This window comes from Homo sapiens, chromosome 1 (assembly GCF_000001405.40).
Source record: "Homo sapiens chromosome 1, GRCh38.p14 Primary Assembly".
NCBI lineage: Eukaryota > Metazoa > Chordata > Mammalia > Primates > Hominidae > Homo > Homo sapiens.
The window spans coordinates 205,854,418-205,875,244 of NC_000001.11; the positions used below are offsets into that span (position 1 = coordinate 205,854,418).

A 20,827-nucleotide genomic window follows, 5' to 3' on the forward strand; every position below is an offset into this window, starting at 1 on the left:
CTCCTCCCTCCCCTTATGAAAATCTCATGGAGAGTGATGAGATTACCTTCCTAAATCTAATTAAAAACAACCCCTCCAAAGTTGTCAGAGGTGGGAGAAGGTGGCCTAGGAGCAGCAAGCAGCCCCCTCTCTAACACCCTGGGACAAATGGCTCTGGGATTAGCCATGCATGGTGGCGAGCACCTGTAGTCCTAGTTACAGGAGGCTGAGGTGGGAGGGTTGCTGGATTCCAGGAATTCAAGGCTGCAGTAAGCTATGAATGTGCCACTGTGCTCAAGCGTAAGTGAGAGAGCAAGACCTTGTCTCTGGAAAAAAAAAAAAAAAAAAAAAAAAGAAAGGAAGGAAGGAAAAAACAAAAATGAGTGGCTCAGGGATTAATGCCCAGTAGCCAAGCTGAGGCCAGGCTGAAAAGGCTGGAAGTCTTTACTAAATAGGAGACAAACATAGGAAAGGAAATGTATAGTGACAGTAAACTAGATAAGCTAAGTGACAAGATAAAACCATATTCTTCTTCAGTTTTTGGGTATCCACAGAATTATATGTGAATTCTTCCAAAAAGCCCAGAGACAGATAAAATTTATTTCTCCTATGTAGCTAAGGTCACTTGAATAATTGACCCTGGGAACATCTACACCTGCATGCAGAAGCACCTTGTGCTAAACAGAATAATCTGTGTTCACATAACACATACACTAGATGTGTGGCTTTTTAAAAAGAAAAATGTCTCTGAACTTTTTAATATAATATTTAAATATAATTTGGTTAATGAGGCCTACTAATTTAATATAATAATTTAATATAATTTGGTTAATGAGGCCTCCTATGGTCAAAATTTAATGCATCCCTCATCTGCATAGCCCTTTAACACATACTTGTGATAGCATGTTATAGGTCTGACCAAGCCTGAGCTTGAGATATTGACCATCTTAGTAGTGAGTCTTTTTTTTTTGAGATTGAGTTTTGCTCTTTTCACCCACGCTGGAGTGCAATGAACTTAAACTATACCCTAGAACAAATGGACTTAACTGATATTTACAGACTATTCTACCTAACAATTCAGAATATACATTTTTTTCATCAGCACATGGAACATTCTCCAAGATAGACCATTTGATCGGCCACAAAACAAATCTCAATAAATTTAAGAAAATCAAAATTATATCAAGTACTCTCTCAGACTACAGTGGAATAAAATTGGAAATTAACTCTAAAAGGAACCCTCAAGACTATACAAATATGTGGAAATTAAATAATCTGCTCCTGAATGATCTTTGGATCAACAATGAAATAAAAATGGAAATTAAAAAATTCTTTGAACTGAATGATAATAGTGACAGAACATGTTAAAACCTCTGGGATACAGCAAAAGTGGTGCTAAGACGACATTTCATAGCATTAAATGCCTACATCAAAAAGTCTGAAAGAACACAAATAGAGAACCTAAGATCACACCTCAAGGAACTAGAGAAACAAGAACAAACCAAACCCAAAACCAGCAGAAGAAAATAAATAACAAAAGTCAGAGCAGAACTAAATGAAATTGAAACAAACAAACAAAAAACAATACAAAAGATAAATGAAGCAAAAAGATGGTTCTTTGAAAAGATAAAAAAAATTGATAGACCATTAGTGAGATTAACCAAGAACAGAGAGAAGATCCAAATAAGCTCAATTAGAAATGAAACAGAAGATATTACAACTGATACCATAGAAATACAAAAGATCATTTAAGGCTACTATGAACACCTTTATGCACACAAACTAGAAAATCTAGAGGAGATGGATAAATTCCTGGGAATATGCAACCCTACTAGATTAAATCAGGAAGAAATAGAAACTCTGAACAAACCAATAACAAGTAGTGAGATTGAAATGGTAATTAAAAAATTGCCAACAAAATAAAGCCCAGGATCAGATGGTTACACAGCTGAATTCTATCAGGCATTCAAAGAAGAATTGGTACCAATCTTACTGAAATTATTCCATAAGATAGAGAAAGAGGGAATCCTCCCTAAGTCATTCTATGAAGCCAGTATCACCCTAATAGCAAAACAAGAAAAGGACATAATAAAACAAGAAAACTACAGACCAATATCCCTGGTGAACATAGATGTGAAAATCCTCAACAAAATACTAGCTAACTGAACCCAACAGCATATCAAAAAGATAATACACCATGATCAAGTGGATTTCATGCCAGGAATGCATGGATGGTTTAACATACACAAGTCAATAAATGTAATACATCACATAAGCAGAATTAAGAACAGAAATTATATGATCATCTCAATGGATGCAGAAAAAGCATTTGCCAAAATCCAGCATCACTTTATGATGAAAGCCACCAGCAAAGTCAGCATAGAAGGGACATAACTCAAAGTAATAAAAGCCATCTATGACAAACACACAGCTGACATTATAGTGAATGGAGAAAAGTTGAAAGCATTCCCTCTGAGAACTGGAACAAGAAAAGGATTCTTACTTTCACCACTGCTACTCAATATTGTACTGGAAGTCCTAGCCAGAGAAATCGGACAAGAGAAAGAAATAAAGGACATCCAAATTGCAAAAGAGAAAGTCAAACTGTCACTATTCACTGATATAATGACATGATATGATGACATAATTGTATACCTAGAAGACCCTAAAGACCCATCCAGAAAGCTCCTAGATGTGGTAAATGAATTCAGTAAAGTTTCAGGATACAAAAACAATGTACACAAATCAGGAGTACGGCTATACAACACCAACAACCAAACTAATAATCAAATCAAGAACTCAACCCCTTTTACAACAGCTGCAACAAAATTAAATACTTAGGAATATACCTAACCAAGGAGGTGGAAGATCTCTACAAGGAAAACTACAAAAAACTGCTGAAAGAAATCATAGATGATACAAACAAATGGAAACATATCCTATGCTCACAAATGGGTAGAAACAATATTGTGAAAATGAGCATACTACCAAAAGCAATCTACAAATTCAATGCAATTCCCATCAAAATACCATCATCATTCTTCACAGAACTAAAACAAATATTAAAATTCATATGGAACCAAAAATGAGCCTGCATAGCCAAAGCAAGACTAAACAAAAAGAAGAAATCTGGAGGCATCACATTACCAGACTTCAAACTATACAACAATGCTGGTAGAAGAGGTGAGGCAGGACTAGCTTGTCTGTCATAATGTAAAAGAGTCTTGGAAGATGTCTGGGGTCCAGGGTCTAAAACCCTTCGTGGCCTTTGGAACACCAAGCTCTATGCCAAAGGGTGGAAGGCTGCCCTGACATGCCAAAATCTAAGCCCAGGGCATAAAACCCCTTGTGGCTTGTATGGAATCCGGGGCTCAGGGCATAAACCCCCTTGTAGCCTCTGGAATGTGCACAGACTTGTTGGTTCCTTGCTTCTTACTTGTAAACATGTCCTCCATTATCTCAAGCAGCAGAGCATATTCTATATGCATCAAAGAAAATGCTAAACCATCACAGCTACGCTTAATGCACCACTACCTTTCTACCCCCACGTCCTCATGCCCTCACCTCTTTACCCCCACATCTGCACGTCCTCACCATCTGCTTCTTTGTTTGGTCTCCAATAAATAGTGTGGGCTCCCAGAGCTCAGGGCCTTCGCAGCCTCCAATCTAGTGTTGGCCCCCTGGACCCAATTTATGCACTTTTAACTTGTCTTTTCTCATTTCTTTCACCCCACCGGACTTTGTAGCCTGATGGCCTGGTGTTGGGCCTGATCACCCCAAAATTTCAGGCACCCAACGTGGGGCTATGAAGACCATGGTAAAGAAATGCTAGAGTATATGGAAATGAAGGACATATCATCAAAGGACACCCGAGGATGGCTGAAAGAAGCTTGGTGGGTAAGCTGGGCACTCTGAAGAACCAAGGTAACAATGGGACAAAATGAAAGTAAACATTCTGCTTGTTTAAACTTTCTAAGGCATTTATTATGGAGAGGGGGAGTGAAAGTTAGTACTCAGAATTTATTAACACTCTTTAGTACAGTGGAGCAGTTTTGCCTGTGGTTCCTAGAACAAGGGACAATGGAGTTCGATGAATGGGAAAGAATTGGCAGAGATCTAAAAAAGGTGCATAAAGAAGGAGCCAAAATTCCAGTTTCTTTTTGGTCAGTGTGGGCATTGATAAAGGCAGGTCTTGAGCCATTTCAAACAAATGATGAGGCAGATTCAGATAAGGAAGAGGAAAACGAGTGTAAAAAATTAACTTCAGATTCTGAATGTGGGGAACAGCAACCAGAGGAAATTAAAGAAAGGAAAACTAAAACAGATATATTTTAGTAGCCCGTTGGTTCCACCTGCTGAATTAAGTGAATGGCCACTTCCTTCCTCTCCCCCTAATGGTCGAGAAAATGAATTAGCTGCAAAACTTACTGCTCTGGTAGCTGCAACATTAAAACCTGGAGGAATTGGTGATGCTATACAAAATTCTATTCAGAAGGTTAGAGCTGAAGGAGACCTAGATGCATGGCAATTTCCCATTACTATAATCCAGCAAGGAGGACAGAATATAACTAATTGGACCACCTTTCCTTTTAAGTTGTTAAAGGAATTCAAGCAAGCCATTAGTCAATATGGGCCAAATTCTCCTTTTGTACAAACTTTACTAAAAAATGTGGCTCTTGATAATAGATTAATACCATATGACTGGGATACTTTAACAAAGTCTGTTCTCACTCCATCTCAGTACCTGCAGTTTAAAACCTGGTGGGCTGATGAAGCTCAAACTCAGGCAAGAGAAAACACACAAACACAGCCACCTGTGCTTGTTTCCTTTGAATGGTTAATGGAGTTGGGCCCTAATTGGGGATGATTAGACAATTAAGCAGTAATGGAGGATGTTGCCATCGGGATGTTCTGTCCGACAAGGACCTAAAGAACCATATACTGACTTTATTGCTCAGCTCCAAGAGGCTGTGCGTAAAGCTGTAACTGATAAAACAGCTCAAGACATGGTAATACAACTTCTTGCATATGATAATGCTAATGCAGAGTGTCAAGCTGCCATTAGACCTATGCAAGGGAAGCCTCATTTGGCTGAATATATTAAGGCTTGTGATGGCATTGCGGGTAATTTACATAAGGCTACTCTTTTAGCTCAAGCTATGGCTGGATTAAAGGTGGGAAAAAATATGCCCCATTTCTCAGGCTCTTGTTTTAATTGTGGGCAATTTGGACACACAAAAAAAGGAATGTAGAAAAGGAAATCAAAAGGCAAAAACTATTACCATCAATCAACAGAAAAGTTCCGGTGTATGCCCCTGGTGTAAGAAAGGCAATCACTGGGCAAATCAGTGTCATCCTAAATTTAGCAAAGATGGGCAACCTCTTTTGGGAAACGGGAAGAGGGGCCCACCTCGGGCCCCTCAACAAACTGAGGCATATCTGGCACAGCCAGTGCCCTTACAAAAGTACAACAATTGTATCCCACCACAGCAGGCAGTACTGTGTAGATCTTTGTAGCACAGTTCCCATTTCCTTACTTCCTGGGGAGCCACCAAAGAAGGTCCTCATGGGAGTTAGGGGCCCTTTACCCTCAGGAACAGTTGGTCTATTGCTTGGAAGGTCTAGTTTAAATTTAAGAAGTGTCACTGTACATACAGGAATAATTGATTCTGATTATACCTGAGAGATTCAGTTAGTTATTAGTTCCTCAATTCCATGGTCTGCTTCCCCAGGGGAAAGAATTGCTCAGTTGTTACTGTTACCTTATACAAAGCTAGGAAGTACTACAGTAAAAGGAACAGGAGGCTTTGGTAGTACTAACCCAGCAGGAAAAGCTATATATTGGGTTAATCAAGTGTCTGACAAAAGACCTATTTGTACAGTAACCATTCAAGGAAAAGATTTTGAGGGGCTAGTACATACTGGAGCTGATGTTTCTATTATTGGTTTAAATCAATGGCCCCAACATTGACCAAAACAAAAGGCATCCATTGGTATTGTTGGAGTAGGGGCTGCCTCAGAAATTTTTCAAAGTTCTTTAATTTTGCCATGCCAGGGGCCAGATGGCCAAGAAGGGACAATTCAACCTATTATTACACCTATTCCTGTAAATCTATGGGGTAGAAACTTATTACAACAATGGGGTGCTGAAATATCTATTCCTATGGATCAGTATAGTGATAACAGTAATCAAATGATGAGAAAAATGGGATATCTCCCAGGGAAGGGACTGGGAAAAAATGAAAATGGCCAAACAGAACCTTTAGAACTAAAAGGGCAAACAGATACAACTGGATTAGGGTATCATTTTTAGGGGTGGCCATTGCTGAGCCTCCGGGTCCCATTCCTCTTGTTTGGTTAACTGCCAAACTGGTTTGGGTGGAGCAATGGCCGCTGAAACAGGAAAAACTGGAGGCTTTAAAAGAATTGATACAAGAACAATTGCAAAAGGGACACATAGAGCCTGCTCTCTCCCCTTGGAATTCTCCTGTGTTTGTTATTAAGAAAAAATCAGGGGAATGGAGAATGTTAATAGATTTGAGGACTGTCAATGCTGTAATTCAACCCATGGGTGCACTGCAACCAGGGCTGCCTTCTCCAACAATGATCCCAAAATACTGGCCTCTCATAGTGACAGATTTAAAAGATCACTTCTTTACCATTCCTTTAGTTGCCCAAGATTATGAAAAATTTGCTTTTACTGTTCCTGCTATAAATAACAAAGAACCAGTGGACAGATACCATTGGAAAGTACTGCCACAAGGCATGTTAAATAGCCCGACTATTTGTCAAACTTATGTTGGAAAAGCTATTAAGCCAGTTAGAGAACAATTTTAAAAATGTTATATCATACATTACATGGATAATATTTTATGTGCAGCTGAAACTAGAGAGGAGTTAATGCTATGTTACAAACAGTTAGAAAAGGCTGTGACTGCAGCAGGGTTAATCATAGCCCCCGATAAAATTCAAACTTCTACTCCCTTTCAATATTTAGGAATGAAAGTAGAATAAAGTACTATTAAGCCTCAAAAAGTTCAAATTAGAAGGGATAATTTAAAAACTCTAAATGATTTTCAAAAATTATTAGAAGACATTAATTGGATTCATCCTACTTTAGGCATTCCTACTTATGCTATGTCTCACCTCTTTTCTACCTTACGAGGTGATTCTGATCTTAACTGCAAATGGTCCCTGTCCAAAGAGGCATTAGAAGAACTTCAATTAATTGAAGAAAAAATTCAATAGGCACAAGTGACTCTAATTAACCCTATGCAGCCATTACAGTTTTTAGTTTTTCCTACTAAACATTCACCAACAGGTGTTATTGTTCAACAGGATGCTTTGGTTGAGTGGCTTTTTCTACCTCACAATACAACTAAAATGCTCACTCTGTACTTAAATTGCTGTACTAGTAGGACAAGCAAGGCTGCGCACAACAAAGTTAATGGGATATAATCCAAATAAAATTATAGTTCCATTAGACAAACAACAAATTCAGCAGGCTTATATTAATTCCCAGGAATGGCAAATTAATATGGCAGGTTTTACTGGTGTTCTTGATAATCATTATCCTAAATCCAAAATATTCCAATTTCTTAAATTGACATCATGGATATTGCTTTCCATTACTCAAAAAACCCCTATTGAAAGGGCCATTACTGTTTTTACTGATGGATCTAGTAATGGAAAGGCCTCATTTGTGGGACCTCAACAAGTTTTTCAAACTGACTTTGCTTCTGCTCAAAGGGCTGAACTTATGGCTGTGATAACAGTGTTAAAAACTTTTAAATAGCCAGTAAACATTGTTTCTGGTTCAGCCTATGTAGTGCAAGCCACACAAAATATTGAACATGCCTTAATTCAAAATGTGACTAAAGACCAACTTAATGTTTTATTTCATTCTCTACAGCAAGCAGTACAACAAAGGCATTCCCCTTTCTATGCACTCATATGAGAGCACATACTAACTTCCCTGGCCCTTTAACTAAATTTAATCAAAGGGCGGATAATTATATGGGGAAGAGGATTTTCTTGTGTCTCTCCAGGTAACAATCAGGCACCTGTGTGGGTGCCCACCAAACATCTGGAGATCTATCATGAGCCACACCAGGAAGAGAGGGCTCTGGGAAGAGCCAGAGCTCCTGATATGAGTGATGGTACAAATGAACATCTCAGAGACAAAGGAGAAGACCAATGGAGGTATACACTAATGATAGTTTTTGGATGCCTGGTTCTACTGATGATAGAGGCCCATCTCACCCCCAAGAGGAAGGAACAATTATGAACGTCTCATTGGGATTTAAGCATTTACCTATTTGGTTAGGAAAAGCTAATGGGTGTTCACCTCCCAGTCATCAATCTTGGCTGGCAATAGTGCCTGAACGTAACATCTCCATAGCACAATTACATATGCTTTCTGGTCTTAGTATTTATCACCATGATTATGCTTCTGTAACTGAAGTTTACCACCCTCAGAAACCTATCTGTAAAGTGGACTAGACATGGTCAGAAAAAATGAAGGCATTTGCTTGGGAAGATTGTGTCACATGGAAAGCAGAGGTGTTGCATAATGATTCATATGGAGTCATTATTGATTGGTCCCCTAAAGGGGCATTTATGAGGCTCACCTCTCAATCTGTAAGTAATGGTCACCCTGCATCTAAACAAAATAATCAGATGGTGGACACTATAAGAAGTACAGCAAGAGATCCTATTATTTGGGCATGTGGTGGTATAGTGGTACCTCAGCCCCAAACGATATGGCCTGCTGTAGGGGCAAAACATAAGGAATTATGGAAAATATTAACAGCACTAAAAAATGATAAAGATTTGGAAAGGGAAATATACTAAGCCAACCCAATATAATCCTAATTACATGTTAAAATTGGCTCACAATGATTCAGTCTGGATACAGAGTTGTGTCCATCACCTTTCCTGTTTGTAGTGGGTGATTTAAAACTTGATCTCTTTAATCATCATGTGACTTGTCAATAATGTAGATTGTCTTCTTGTGTGAATTCTTCCTTATATAACACTGATCATTCTATTTTAATGGTAAGAGCCCAAGAAGGAGTATGGATACCTGAGAAGCTTTCCCATCCCTGGGAAGCCTCTCCTTCTGTGCATATTATTACTGAAATTCTTCAAAAGATTTTGAGGCACTCACGGCATTTCATTGCTACTTTAATTTTCATTATTATGGGATTGATTGCTGTCACAGCTACTGCTGCAGTAGCTGGAGTTGCTTTGCATTCCACAGTACAAACAGCAGACTATGTAAATAATTGGTAGAAAAATTCTACTCTGCTGTGGAATTACCAAAATAATATAGACCAGAAACTAGCTGATCAAATTAATGATCTCCAACAAACTGTAATGTGGCTAGGAGATCATATAGTTAGTTTAGAATATAGAATGCAGTTACAATGTGATTGAAATACCTCTGATTTTTGCATTACTCCTCATCTGTGTAATGAAACAGAGCATGAGTGGGAAAAAGTTAAGAGATATTTAAAAGGTCATACTAGAAATTTATCTTTGGATATTGCAAAGCTAAAGGAACAAGTATTTCAAGCCTCTCAGATACATCTGACACTAATGCCAGGAACTGAAGTGCTTGAAGGAGCTACAGACGGATTAGCAGCTATTAACCTGCTAAAATGGATCAAGACACTTGGAGGCTCTGTGATTTCAATGATTGTGCTTTTAATCTGTGTTGTTTGTCTTTATATAGTCTGTAGATGCGGAAGCCACCTCTGGAGAGAAAGCCACCACTGAGAGCAAGCAATGATAGCTGTGGCGGTTTTGCAAAAAAGAAAAGGGAGACAAGCGCCCAGCTATAGTTACCAATAAAGCATGGTACTGGTATTAAAATAGGCATGTGTTCTGTTCCAATGGAACAGAATAGAGAACCCAGAAACAAAGCCAAATATTTACAGCCAACTGATCTCTGACAAAGCAAACAAAAACATAAAGTGGGGAAAGGACACCCTATTCCACAAATAGTGCAGGGATAATTGGCAAGCCACATGTAGAAAAATGAAGCTGGATCCTCGTCTCTCACTTTATACAAAAATCAACTCAAAATGGGTCAAAGTCTTAACTCTAAGACCTGAAACCATAACAATTCTAGAAAATAACATTGGAAAAACTCTTCTAGACATTGGTTTAGGCAAAAAGTTCATGACCAAGAACCCAAAAGCAAATGCAATAAAAAGGAAGATAAATAGATGGGACCTAATTAAGCTGAAAAGCTTCTGCATAGCAAAAGAAATAATCAGCAGAGCAAACAGACAACCCACAGGGTGGGAGAAAATATTTGCAAGCTATGTATCTGACAATGGACTAATATCCAGAATCTACAAGGAATTCAAACAATTAGCAAGAAAAAACACTTGTATTGTGTTTGTTCTGTAAATCAGCAAGAAAAAAATCACATAATTTCATTAAAAAGTGGGTAAAGGACATGAACAGACAATTCATAAGAAGATATACAAGTGGCCAACAAACATATGAGAAAATGCTCAACATCACTAATTATTAGGGAAATGCAAATCTAAACCACAAGGAGATACTATTTTACTTTTGCAAGAATGGCCATAATTTAAAAACACAGATGTTGGCATGGATGTGGTGAAAAGGGATCACTTTTATATGGCTGGTAGGAATGTAAACTAGTTCAACCACTATGGAAATCAGTATGGAGATTACTTAAAGAATGAAAAGTAGATCTACCATTCTATCCAGCAATCCCACTCCTGGGTATCTACCCAGAGGAAAATAAGTCATTATATGAAAAAGGCATTTGCACACGCATGTTTATAGTGGCACAATTCGCAATTGCAAAAATATGGAACCAGTCTAAATGCCCATCAAGCAATGAGTGGATAAAGAAAATGTAATATATATATATTATACCCACACACACACACCATGGAATACTACTTAGGCATAAAAAGGAACAGAATAATGGCATTAGCAGCAACCTGGATGGAGTTGGAGAGTATTATTCTTTTTTTTTTTTTTTTTTTTGAGACAGAGTCTCCCTCTGTCACCCAGGCTGGAGTGCAGTGGTGCAATCTCAGCTCACTGCAACCTCTGCCTCCCAGGTTCAAGCGATTCTCCTGCCTCATTCTCCCAAGTGGCTGGGACTACAGGCACACACCACCACACCTGGCTAACTTTTGTGTTTTCAGCAGAGATTTTCACAAAGTTGCCCAGGCTGGCCTTGAACTCCTGACCTCAAGTGATCCGCCTGCCTTGGCCTCCCAAAGTGCTGGGTTTATAGGCGTGAGCCACCGTGCCCGGCCACATAGTGATGTTTTGATACATATAATATATAGTGATCAGATCAGGGATATTAGCATATCAATAATCTCAAACATTTGTCATTTCTTAGTGTTGGGAACGTTCAATAGCTTCCTTTTAGTTACTTGAAACTATATAACGCGTTATTGTTAACTATAGTCTTCCTACAGTGCTATAGAACAGTGGTCTCCAACCTTGTTGGCACCAGGGACCAGTCTGGTGGAAGACAAAAATGGGTGGGGGAGGGGGAATGGTTTCGGGGTGAAACGGTTTCACCTTAGATCATCAGTTAGATTCTTACAAGCAGCATGCAACCTAGATCTCTTGCATGCACAGTTCACTATAGGGTTCGCACTCCTACGAGAATCTCATGACCCCACTGATCTGACAGGGGGCTGCTCACTCACCTGCTGCTCACCTCCTGCTGTGTGGTCTGGTTCCTAACAGGCCACATACCAGTACCAGTCTGTGGCCCAGGGGTTGGGGATCCTTGGTATCAAATACTAGTACTTTTTCCTCTTATCTAGCCATAATTTTGCTTTCCAAAAGTTTTTATTTTATTTTATTTTTTATTGATATAAGATATTTTACATATTTTTGGTGCACTTTTTAAAATTTTTTATTTTGCAGTTGCAAGATTTAATAGAGTGAAAACAGAGCTCCCATACAAAAGGAGGGGACCCAAAGGGGGTTGCCCACTCCTGGCTCGAATACCTGGGGTTTATATCCAAATCATTTTTGCTCCCCCTGTGCTCTCAGATGATAGATGATTTGACTATTTCTTTACCTCCTGCTTTTAGTCTAATTTGTATTTTAGTGAGCCCTCTTTACTACCTGATTGGTCGGGTGTGAGCTGAGTTACAAGCCCAGTGCTTAAAGGTGGGTGTGATCACCTTCTCCAGCTAGGCTTAGGAATTCTTAGTTGGCCTAGGAAGTCCAGCTAGTCCTGTCTCTCAGTCCCCCTCTCAACAGGAAAACCCAAGTGCTGTTGGGGAGGTTGGCTGATGACTGCTCTGCTTCCTGCTGAATTTGGGTGTAGTAGGGGTCGTGCAGTTGAGAGTTCCTCAGGAGGGGTGCCTTTGATGTCATCAACATCGGAGCATGGGCTAGTAGGCTGGTCCAGGGGTCTGCAGTAGATCTTAGTCATGGACTGTATCTGGGGCTCCATTTGAAGAACCATTTGTAGTTTTACAGCTTCGATTCTGGAAGAGACAAACTTAACAAGGAGGTTAAAGATACACGGATTGAAATGTATGGCCTGAAGTGCAGGGGCATATGGGTGTGGGTGGTGAAAGTGGGGTTTCCTTTAGAAAAACTCCTATACAATGGGGCATCAATATTTCCGGGAAGCCGCATTCTCCATAGAAGCTCTTGGTAAGGGGAACTACTGGTAGTACAGCGGCATAGAGGAGGTGCAGTGAGCATGAAAGAGGGTAAGAGAACAGTAAAAAGAAAAATATGACAAGGGAGGGTCATGGGGATCTATGATTCTAGTTACTTTCCTCACGGTTGTTGCTTGAAGAGCAGGCGCAGATCCTCTAGAGGTTCACAAGAATAGCTAGCATTGTCTCCTGGATTTTCAGGTTCCTTTGGCAGTATCCAGGGTTTGACTCAAGTGTGATGTATCCAAGACTCCACTCCAACCACTTTAACTGTGGTTGGGGTAGATAAAATGACTGGGTAGTGTCCATCCCAGGATGTGTCTAGGGATGGGGAATTAGAAGGAAGGGACTTGACTAATACCATGTCACCGGGGTGGAATAATTCCTTTCCCTCCTCTCGGGGACAGGTTCCCTGTAGTGTTTTAAGAACTTGTTGATATTTGGCTAAGGAGGTGATGTCTGCAACTAAGTTGGCAGTCTCTCGGTAAAGCACAAGGTCATTGGTTAGGAAGGGCTGTCCATACAACATCTCGTATGGGCTAAGTCCTGCTTTCTGGGGAAAGTTTCGGATTCTTAGTAAGGCTATAGGCAACACAGCAGGCCATGCAAGGTGGGTTTGTTGGGTTAGCGTTTTTAGATGTCATTTGAGTGTTTCATTCATTTTCTTTTTTTTCTGTTTTTTTTTTATATTTTTTTATGTTTTATTTTTATTTTTTTAAATTTTATTATTATTATACTTTAAGTTTTAGGGTACATGTGCATAATGTGCAGGTTAGTTACATATGTATACATGTGCCATGCTGGTGTGCTGCACCCATTAACTCATCATTTAGCATTAGGTTTCATTCATTTTCTCAACTTTTCCTGAGGATCGTGGCCTCCAGTCATAGTGTAAGTGATATTGTATGCCTAACACCTGGGATACTCCCTGGGTTACTGTAGCCTTGAAAGCAGGGCCATTGTCACTCTGTAAGCCTCGGGGAAGTCTGAATCTGGGAATTATTTCATGAACTAGTGCCTTCATTACCTCTTGAGTCTTTTCTGTTCTACAAGGAAAAGCGTCCACCCAACCAGTGAAGGTGTCTACCCAGACTAGTAGATACTGAAATCCCTGAGATTTGGGCATGTGGGTAAAATCTAGTTGCCAGTCTTCTCTTGGGTAATGGCCTGCTATTTGTTCTCCTGAAGGAGCTTGGTGATAAGGCAGGGAACACTTCACAGACCCTGACTATCTGCTTGATAGTTTTGAAAAGGCCTGGTCCAGTAAATAATGATTTGGCCATCTGATGGGTGCTATCAATGCCTAAGTGAAAGGTCTCATGAAGCATTTTAAGTAATTTCCATTGGTTAGCTGCAGGCAAAAGTATTTTTCCTTCTTCGGTGGCTAGCCATCCTGAGGGGAGGAAACTATGTTTTCGTGAGTTTCCCCATTCTATTTCTTCTGCTGAGTACTGGGGCTTGGTTTCCTGGAGGGGATTACCCTATACTAGGGGTCCTTCTATAAGCATTTCTAATGGAGGATCCCACCTTGTGGCTCTTTTGGCTTCAATATCCGCTTGGCAGTTCCCTTCTGTTTCCCTTTCCTTTCCTTTCTGATGACCCCGGCAGTGTAAGACTGCCACCTCTTTAGGTTTCTGTACAGCCAATACTAATCTCCTAATGACTTCCTGATGTTTGATAGGTGTTCCCTTGGAAGTTAGGAATTCCCTTTGTCTCCATATTGCTGCATGGGCATGGAGGACTAGGTAAGCATACTTAGACTCTATGTATATATTTACCCCTTTTCCTTCTCTTAATTCTAATGTATAATGGCCACTGCTTTTGCTAGGATATCTCTCCCTAACAAAGGAGTGGGGCTTTCAGGCAAAATTAGAAAGGCATAAGAAAAAAGTAAAGTTCCCCAGTCACGACTTAGTGTCTGGGAGAAGTATTTAGTGACTGCCTGTTCTAGGACCCCTCAGATAGTGACAGATCTGGAGGACAGTTGTCTGGGACAGAAGAGTAAGACTGAGAAGGCTGCACCAGTGTCCAAGAGACAGTTAACCCCCTGGCCCTCAATGGTCAAGCATACCCAGGGCTCTGTGATGGTGATAGCATGGGCTGGTGCTTGCCCTGGGCACCCTCAGTCCTGCTGCTGGATCATCTGGTGAGTGGCTTCTGACTCAGAGGACCTTGGTCCCTTGGGGCAGTGGGTCTTCCAGTGATTCCCTTGACATAAGGGGCATGGACAAAGGGGTGGCTTATTTCTATTCAGACAATCTATTTAAAAGTGTCCTTGTAGACCGCACTGGAAGCAAGCCCTATTAGGCATTCAATTTGCCCAGACTTTCCCTTTTTCAGAGCCTCCAAAGTCTGCTTGCCTGAGGGCCCTGACTAAAGCCATGGCCTTTTTTTTTTGTCCCATTTGTCCCATTCCACCTGCTCCTCCTGATCTCTATTATAAAAAACCGAGTTTGCCAAGTTCATTAGGGTTTTTAAGTTTTGCTCCAGGCCTAAAGTGGACTTTTGAAGTTTTTTCTAATGTCTGCAACTGACTGAGTGATAAACTTATCTTTTAAGATTAGCTGGCCTTCAATAGAGTCAGGTGACAGAGGGTATGATTCCTCAATACCTTCCTGAGTCTCTCCAGAAAGGCGGTAGGATTTTCTTCCTTTCCCAGTGTTATAGTGGACATCACTGAATAATTTATAGTCTTCTTCCTAGTTTTCCTTAGTCCTTCTAGCAGACAAGTTAGCAAATGTCTGCAGCACCAATCTCCATGTTCTGATTCTGCGTCCCAATGAGGGTCTACACTGGGAACTGCCTGCTGGCCTGTAGGGAATTGTTCTCTTTCTTCTGTTGTCATCCTATTATTGACCTGACTGAGATACCAGAGATTGCCAAACTCTGGAGTTGCAGTTATGGTGGCAATTCTCTCATTTGGGGTTAGTGTCTGATCTAGCAGTAACATTATATATATATCTCTCCATGTCAGATCAAAGGGTTGTCTTAATCCTTGTGAAACATCAATATAGCCATCAGGGTTATCTGAGAATTTACCTAGGTCTATTTTAATTTGCTTCAAGTCTGAGAGGGAAAAAGGTACATACACTCTGACTGGGCCAAATTCTCCAGAATACATCTTAGGTGCATTTTTGCCGTGTGGGGAACATTTCCCACCTGAAAAAAGAACATAGGGATGCCAGCACCCCTAGTCATTTTCCAATGAGCATTTGTCTGAGAGCATCCTCTAAGGCCCTAATGCTTATTCCTTTCCAGGGTGCATAACCACCCGTGGACCTCTGCTTATCAGATTAGTTATGCTCACTGATGTAGCAGCCCTACACCTGTTTTCCTGCCTTTCTTGACCACAAAGAAAGAGGTCTGGGCTGCTGGATTCTAGTGGCCCTTTACCAGTGTGCCCAACATTGCCTTTATGCTCAGGGGTGAGTTCTAGAGCTGGGCTGGGTTCCTATTTCCTAACAACCCAGCTGCCCCATCAAGAGGCATTCCCATAAACAACAGTTCTTATGCAAATTTGTTTCAGAGCGGGTGTAGGTAACCTTTTGAGTCAAGATTGAGATAGAGTTTTTTGATTCTGTAAGTACTTTAAGGCTTGGCTGAGTTCAAACAGCTCACATGTTTGAGCAGACCAATTATTAGGCAATTTTCCTAACTCTGCTTCTACAAGAGTTTCCCTATCAATTACTGAATACCCACTGTGCGTGTGTGTTTTTTTTTCAATCACCCGGGAGGAACCATCTATCCTCTTGTCCTGAAGGGAGTTCCTCCTAGGTCTGGTCGGACCTTTGTATGGTAATTAAGATTTAAATCCCCCGTTAGGAAACCCGCTGGGTTAAGGAAATTTTCAGTGGTTAATGTTAAGTCATCTTTTTCTAACAGAATAGCCCTATACTTTAAGATTTTTGAGTTAGTAAGCTACCTTTCTGCTTTTTTTACTTAGGATAGTTCTGAACTGGTGAGGTGTGCTCACAGTGAGGTTTCCTCTAAAAGCATTTTTCTGCTTTCTTCTGTTAGCAAAGCAGTAGCGGCTACTGATTGAATGCATTTGGGCCATCCGCAGGTTACTGGGTTAAAGGATTTTTGATAGGAAGACTACAGGTTGTCAGTGGTCTCAGTGTTTTCGGGCTACACCCTTGTTTACACTGACAAGTTGGTATTGGAGTGTTATAGGGTCCTGGAGAAGACCTTCAATGATCAATTATAGGTTTTAAATTTACCCTGGCTTTTAAAGCAATAGGGTACACTGTTTTTTCTTTACTTGTATATCTCTTTCTCTCTCTCTTTGACTTTCTGTCTCTCTCTTTCTCTCTCTGACTCCCTCTTTGTCTCTGTCTCTCTCTCTCTCCTCTCTTTGACTCCCTCTTTGTCTCTCTGTCTCTTCCTCTCTCTCTCTTTCTCTTTTTATAGATGGGTTTTGGGAACACAGCAGAAGAACGTTCACTCATTACCCCCATTTGCCACTATAGGAATATGTGCCTCCCTTTTATTTACTCCATTTGCTTTCATCCTGATCTGTTGTCATAGACCCAGTTCCAGTTGTTAAAGTACTGGGTCATCAGTTCTAAGGCCCTGGACAAGGAGCCAAGGCCTGGAGATTGCCTGTTCTAAGACCCCTCAGATAGTGACATAGTGACTCAAAGCTAAGTTACTCATAGCTTTGGGTAACTTACAGTGGAGGGTAAGTCCATCCCCTTCTTAATCAATACAGAGGCTACCAAGTCCATATTACCTTCTTTTCAAGGGCATGTTTCCCTTGCCTCCATAACTGTTGTGGGTATTGACGGCCAGGCTTCTAAATCTCTTAAAACTCCCCAACTCTGGTGCCAACTTGGACAACATTCTTTAATGCACTCCTTTTTAGTTATCCCCACCTGCCCAGCTCCCTTATCAGGTGGAGATATTTTAACTAAATTATCTGCTGCCCTGACTATTGCTGGGCTATAGCCACAACTCATTGCTGCCTTTTGTCCCAGTTCAAAGCCTTCTTCACATCCTCTCCTTGTATATCCCCACCTTAATCCACAAGTATAGGATACCTCTACTCCCTCCTTGGCAATGGATGATGCACCCGTTACCATCCCATTAAAACCTAATCACCCTTACCCCACTCAATGCCAACATCCCATCCCACAGCATGCTTTAAATGGATTAAAGCACTTGCCTGTTACAGCATGGCCTTTTAAAGCCAATAAACTCTCCTTACAATTCCCTCATTTTACCTGTCCAAAAACCAGACAAGCCTTATAGGTTAGTTCAGTATCTGTGCCTTATCAACCAAATTGTCTTGCCTGTCCACTCCATGGTGTCAAAACCATATACTCTCCTATCCTCAATGCCTCCTTCCACAACCCCTCCATAACCCATTATTCTGTTCTGGATATCAAACATGCTTTCTTTATTGTTCCATTGCACCTTTTATCCCAGCCTCTCTTTGCTTTCACTTGCACTGACCCTGACACCCATCAGCCTCAGCAACTTACCTGGGCTGTACTGCCGCAAGGCTTCGCGGACAGCCCCCATTACTTCAGTCAAACCCAAATTTCTCCCTCATCTGTTACCTATCTCAGCATAATTCCTCATGAAAACACATGTGCTCTCCCTGTTGATTGTGTCTGGCTAATCTCCCAAACCCAACCCCTTCTACAAAACAACAACTCTTTTCCTTCCTAGGCATGGTTAGGTACTTCCGCCTTTGGATACCTAGTTTTACCATCCTGACTAAACCATTATGTAAACTCACAAAAGCAAACCTAGCTGACCCCATAGATCCTAAATCCTTTTGCCGCTCCTCTTTCTGTTCCTTAAAAACAGCCCCAGAAGCTGCCCCAATGCTGGCTTTCCCTAACTCATCCCAACCCTTTTCATTACACACAGGCAAGGTACAGGGCTGTGCGGTCAAAATTCTTACACAAGAGCCAGGACCATGCCCTGTAGGCTTTCTGTTCATACAACTTGACCTTACTGTTTTAGGCTGGCCCCCACCCCAGTGACTATATCTCTCTGATCCACCTGACATTCACTCCATTTCCCTGTAGTTCCTTCTTTCATGTTCCTCACCCTGATCACACTTGGTTTATTGATGGCAGTTCCACCAGGCCTAATCTCCACTCACCAGCAAAGGCAGGCTATGCTAGAGTATCTTCCACATCTATCATTGAGGCTACCACTCTGCCCCCCTCCATTACCTCTCAGCAAGCTGAACTCATTGCCTTAACTTGAGCCCTCACTCTTGCAAAGGAATTTTGTGTCAATATTTATAGTGACTCTAAATATGCCTTCCATATCCTGCACCACCTTGCTGTTATATGGGCTGAAAGAGGTTTCCTCACTATGCAAGGGTCCTCCATCATTAATGCCTCTTTAATAAAAACTCTTCTGAAGGCCACTTTACTTCCAAAGGAAGCTGGAGTCATACACTGCAAGGGCCACCAAAAGGCATCAGATCCTATCACTGAGGGCAACGCTTATGCTGATAAGGTAGCTAAAGAAGCAGCCAGCATTCCAACTTCCATCCTTCATGGCCAGTTTTTCTCCTTCTAATTGGTCACTCCTATTTACTCTCCTACTGAAGTTTCCACCTATCAATCTCTTCCCACACAAGGCAAATGGTTCTTGGACCAAGGAAAATACCTCCTTCCAGCCTCACAGGCCCATTCTATTCTGTCATCATTTCATAACCTCTTCCATGTAGGTTACACACTGTTAGCTCCTCTCTTAAAACCTCTCATTTCCTTTCCATCATGAATATCTATCCCCAGTCCTCCACTCTTGACTCCCTCTTGGAGTGGATAGATGATCTTTGCTGACAGGACACACTCCAACACTTTCACCCTGATGAAGTCCTATTCTTTACTTTTATACTCACTCTTATTCTCATTCCCATTCTTATGCCACCCTCTACCTCTCCTCAGCTATCTCCACCACACTATCAATCTCACTCACTCTCTCCTAGCCATTTCTAATCCTTCTTTAACAAACAATTGCTGGCTTTGCATTTCTCTTTCCTCCAAAATCACTGAGGCCTCAATTTACTCACTGCTGAAAAAGGAGGATTCTGTGTATTTTTAAATTAAGAATGTTGTTTTTACCTAAATCAATCTGGCCTGGCATATGACAACATAAAAAAACTCAAGGATATAAAAACTCACCAAAAAACCGCCCAAAACTCACCAACCAAACAAATAATTATGCTGAACACCCTTGGGCACTCTCTAATTGGATGTCCTGGGTCCTCCCAATTCTTAGTCCTTTAATACCTGTTTTTCTTCTTCTCTTATTCAGACCTTGTGTCTTTCGTTTAGTTTCTCAATTCATACAAAACCGCATCCAGGCCATCACCAATAATTCTATACAACAAATGCTTCTTCTGACAACTCCACAATATCACTCCTTACCCCAAAATCTTTCTTCAGTTTAATCTCTCCTACTCTAGGTTCCCACACCGCCCCTAATCCCACTTGAAGCAGCCCTGAGAAACATCACCTATTATCTCTCCATACCACCCCCCCAAATTTTTGCTGCCCCAACACTTCACCACTATTTTGTTTTGTTTTTCTTATTAATATATGAAGACAGAAATGTCAGGCCTCTGAGCACAAGCTAAGCCATCATATCCCCTGTGAACTGCGTGTATACATCCAGATGGCTTGAAGCAACTGAAGATCCACAAAAGAAGTGAAAATAGCCTTAACTGATGACATTCCACCATTGTGATTTGTTCCTGCCCTACCCTAACTGAAAATATATATTCTCCCCCACCCTTAAGAAGGTACTTTGTAATATTCTTCCCCACCCTTAAGAAGGTACTTTGTAATATTCTCCCCCTGCCCTTAAGAAGGTACTTTGTACACCTATCCCAAACCAGTAAGAACTAATGATAATCTCACCACCATTTACTGACTCATTTTTCGGACTCAGTCTGCCTGCACCCAGGTGAAATAAACAGCCTTGTTGCTCACACAAAGCCTGTTTCGTGGTCTCTTTACACGGACATGTGAGACACTAGCCATTTACAAACTTGGGGCTCTGGCAAGGGTAGTGGGGAATAGTTCCCACGTAACTGCCCATGTCTAGAGCTGTATGCCTAAATTGGGAGGGACACCAGGGGTAAGACTCCCTGGGTTCATAGTCTACATGCCTAAGGATGCAGTGTA

At 40.9% G+C, this 20,827-nt stretch overlaps 2 long non-coding RNA genes across 2 annotated transcripts in view, besides 1 other annotated feature; both read left to right on the plus strand.

The window, feature by feature from the left end:
* The first annotated feature begins 337 nt into the window (after positions 1 to 337).
* On the plus strand, positions 338 to 4,206 carry LOC107985250 (uncharacterized). Its single transcript, XR_001738417.2, has 2 exons — positions 338 to 3,162; positions 3,726 to 4,206. It is a non-coding gene; the product is annotated as an uncharacterized LOC107985250 (long non-coding RNA).
* A 3,455-nt stretch (positions 4,207 to 7,661) lies between these two features.
* Positions 7,662 to 20,827, plus strand: part of PM20D1-AS1 (PM20D1 antisense RNA 1) — a 34,009-nt gene continuing 20,843 nt past the window's right edge. Inside the window, exon 1 of the long non-coding RNA NR_046097.1 lies at positions 7,662 to 8,181. This is a non-coding gene — a long non-coding RNA (PM20D1 antisense RNA 1). The remainder of the gene's footprint in view (positions 8,182 to 20,827) is intronic.
* Positions 15,947 to 16,448: an enhancer, noted in NCBI's record as "NANOG hESC enhancer chr1:205839492-205839993 (GRCh37/hg19 assembly coordinates)". NCBI's record gives its function as "activates a minimal SCP1, AML or CMV promoter by ChIP-STARR-seq in primed H9 embryonic stem cells {active_cell/tissue: H9 hESC(primed)}" and the evidence as "EXISTENCE:reporter gene assay evidence [ECO:0000049][PMID:30033119]".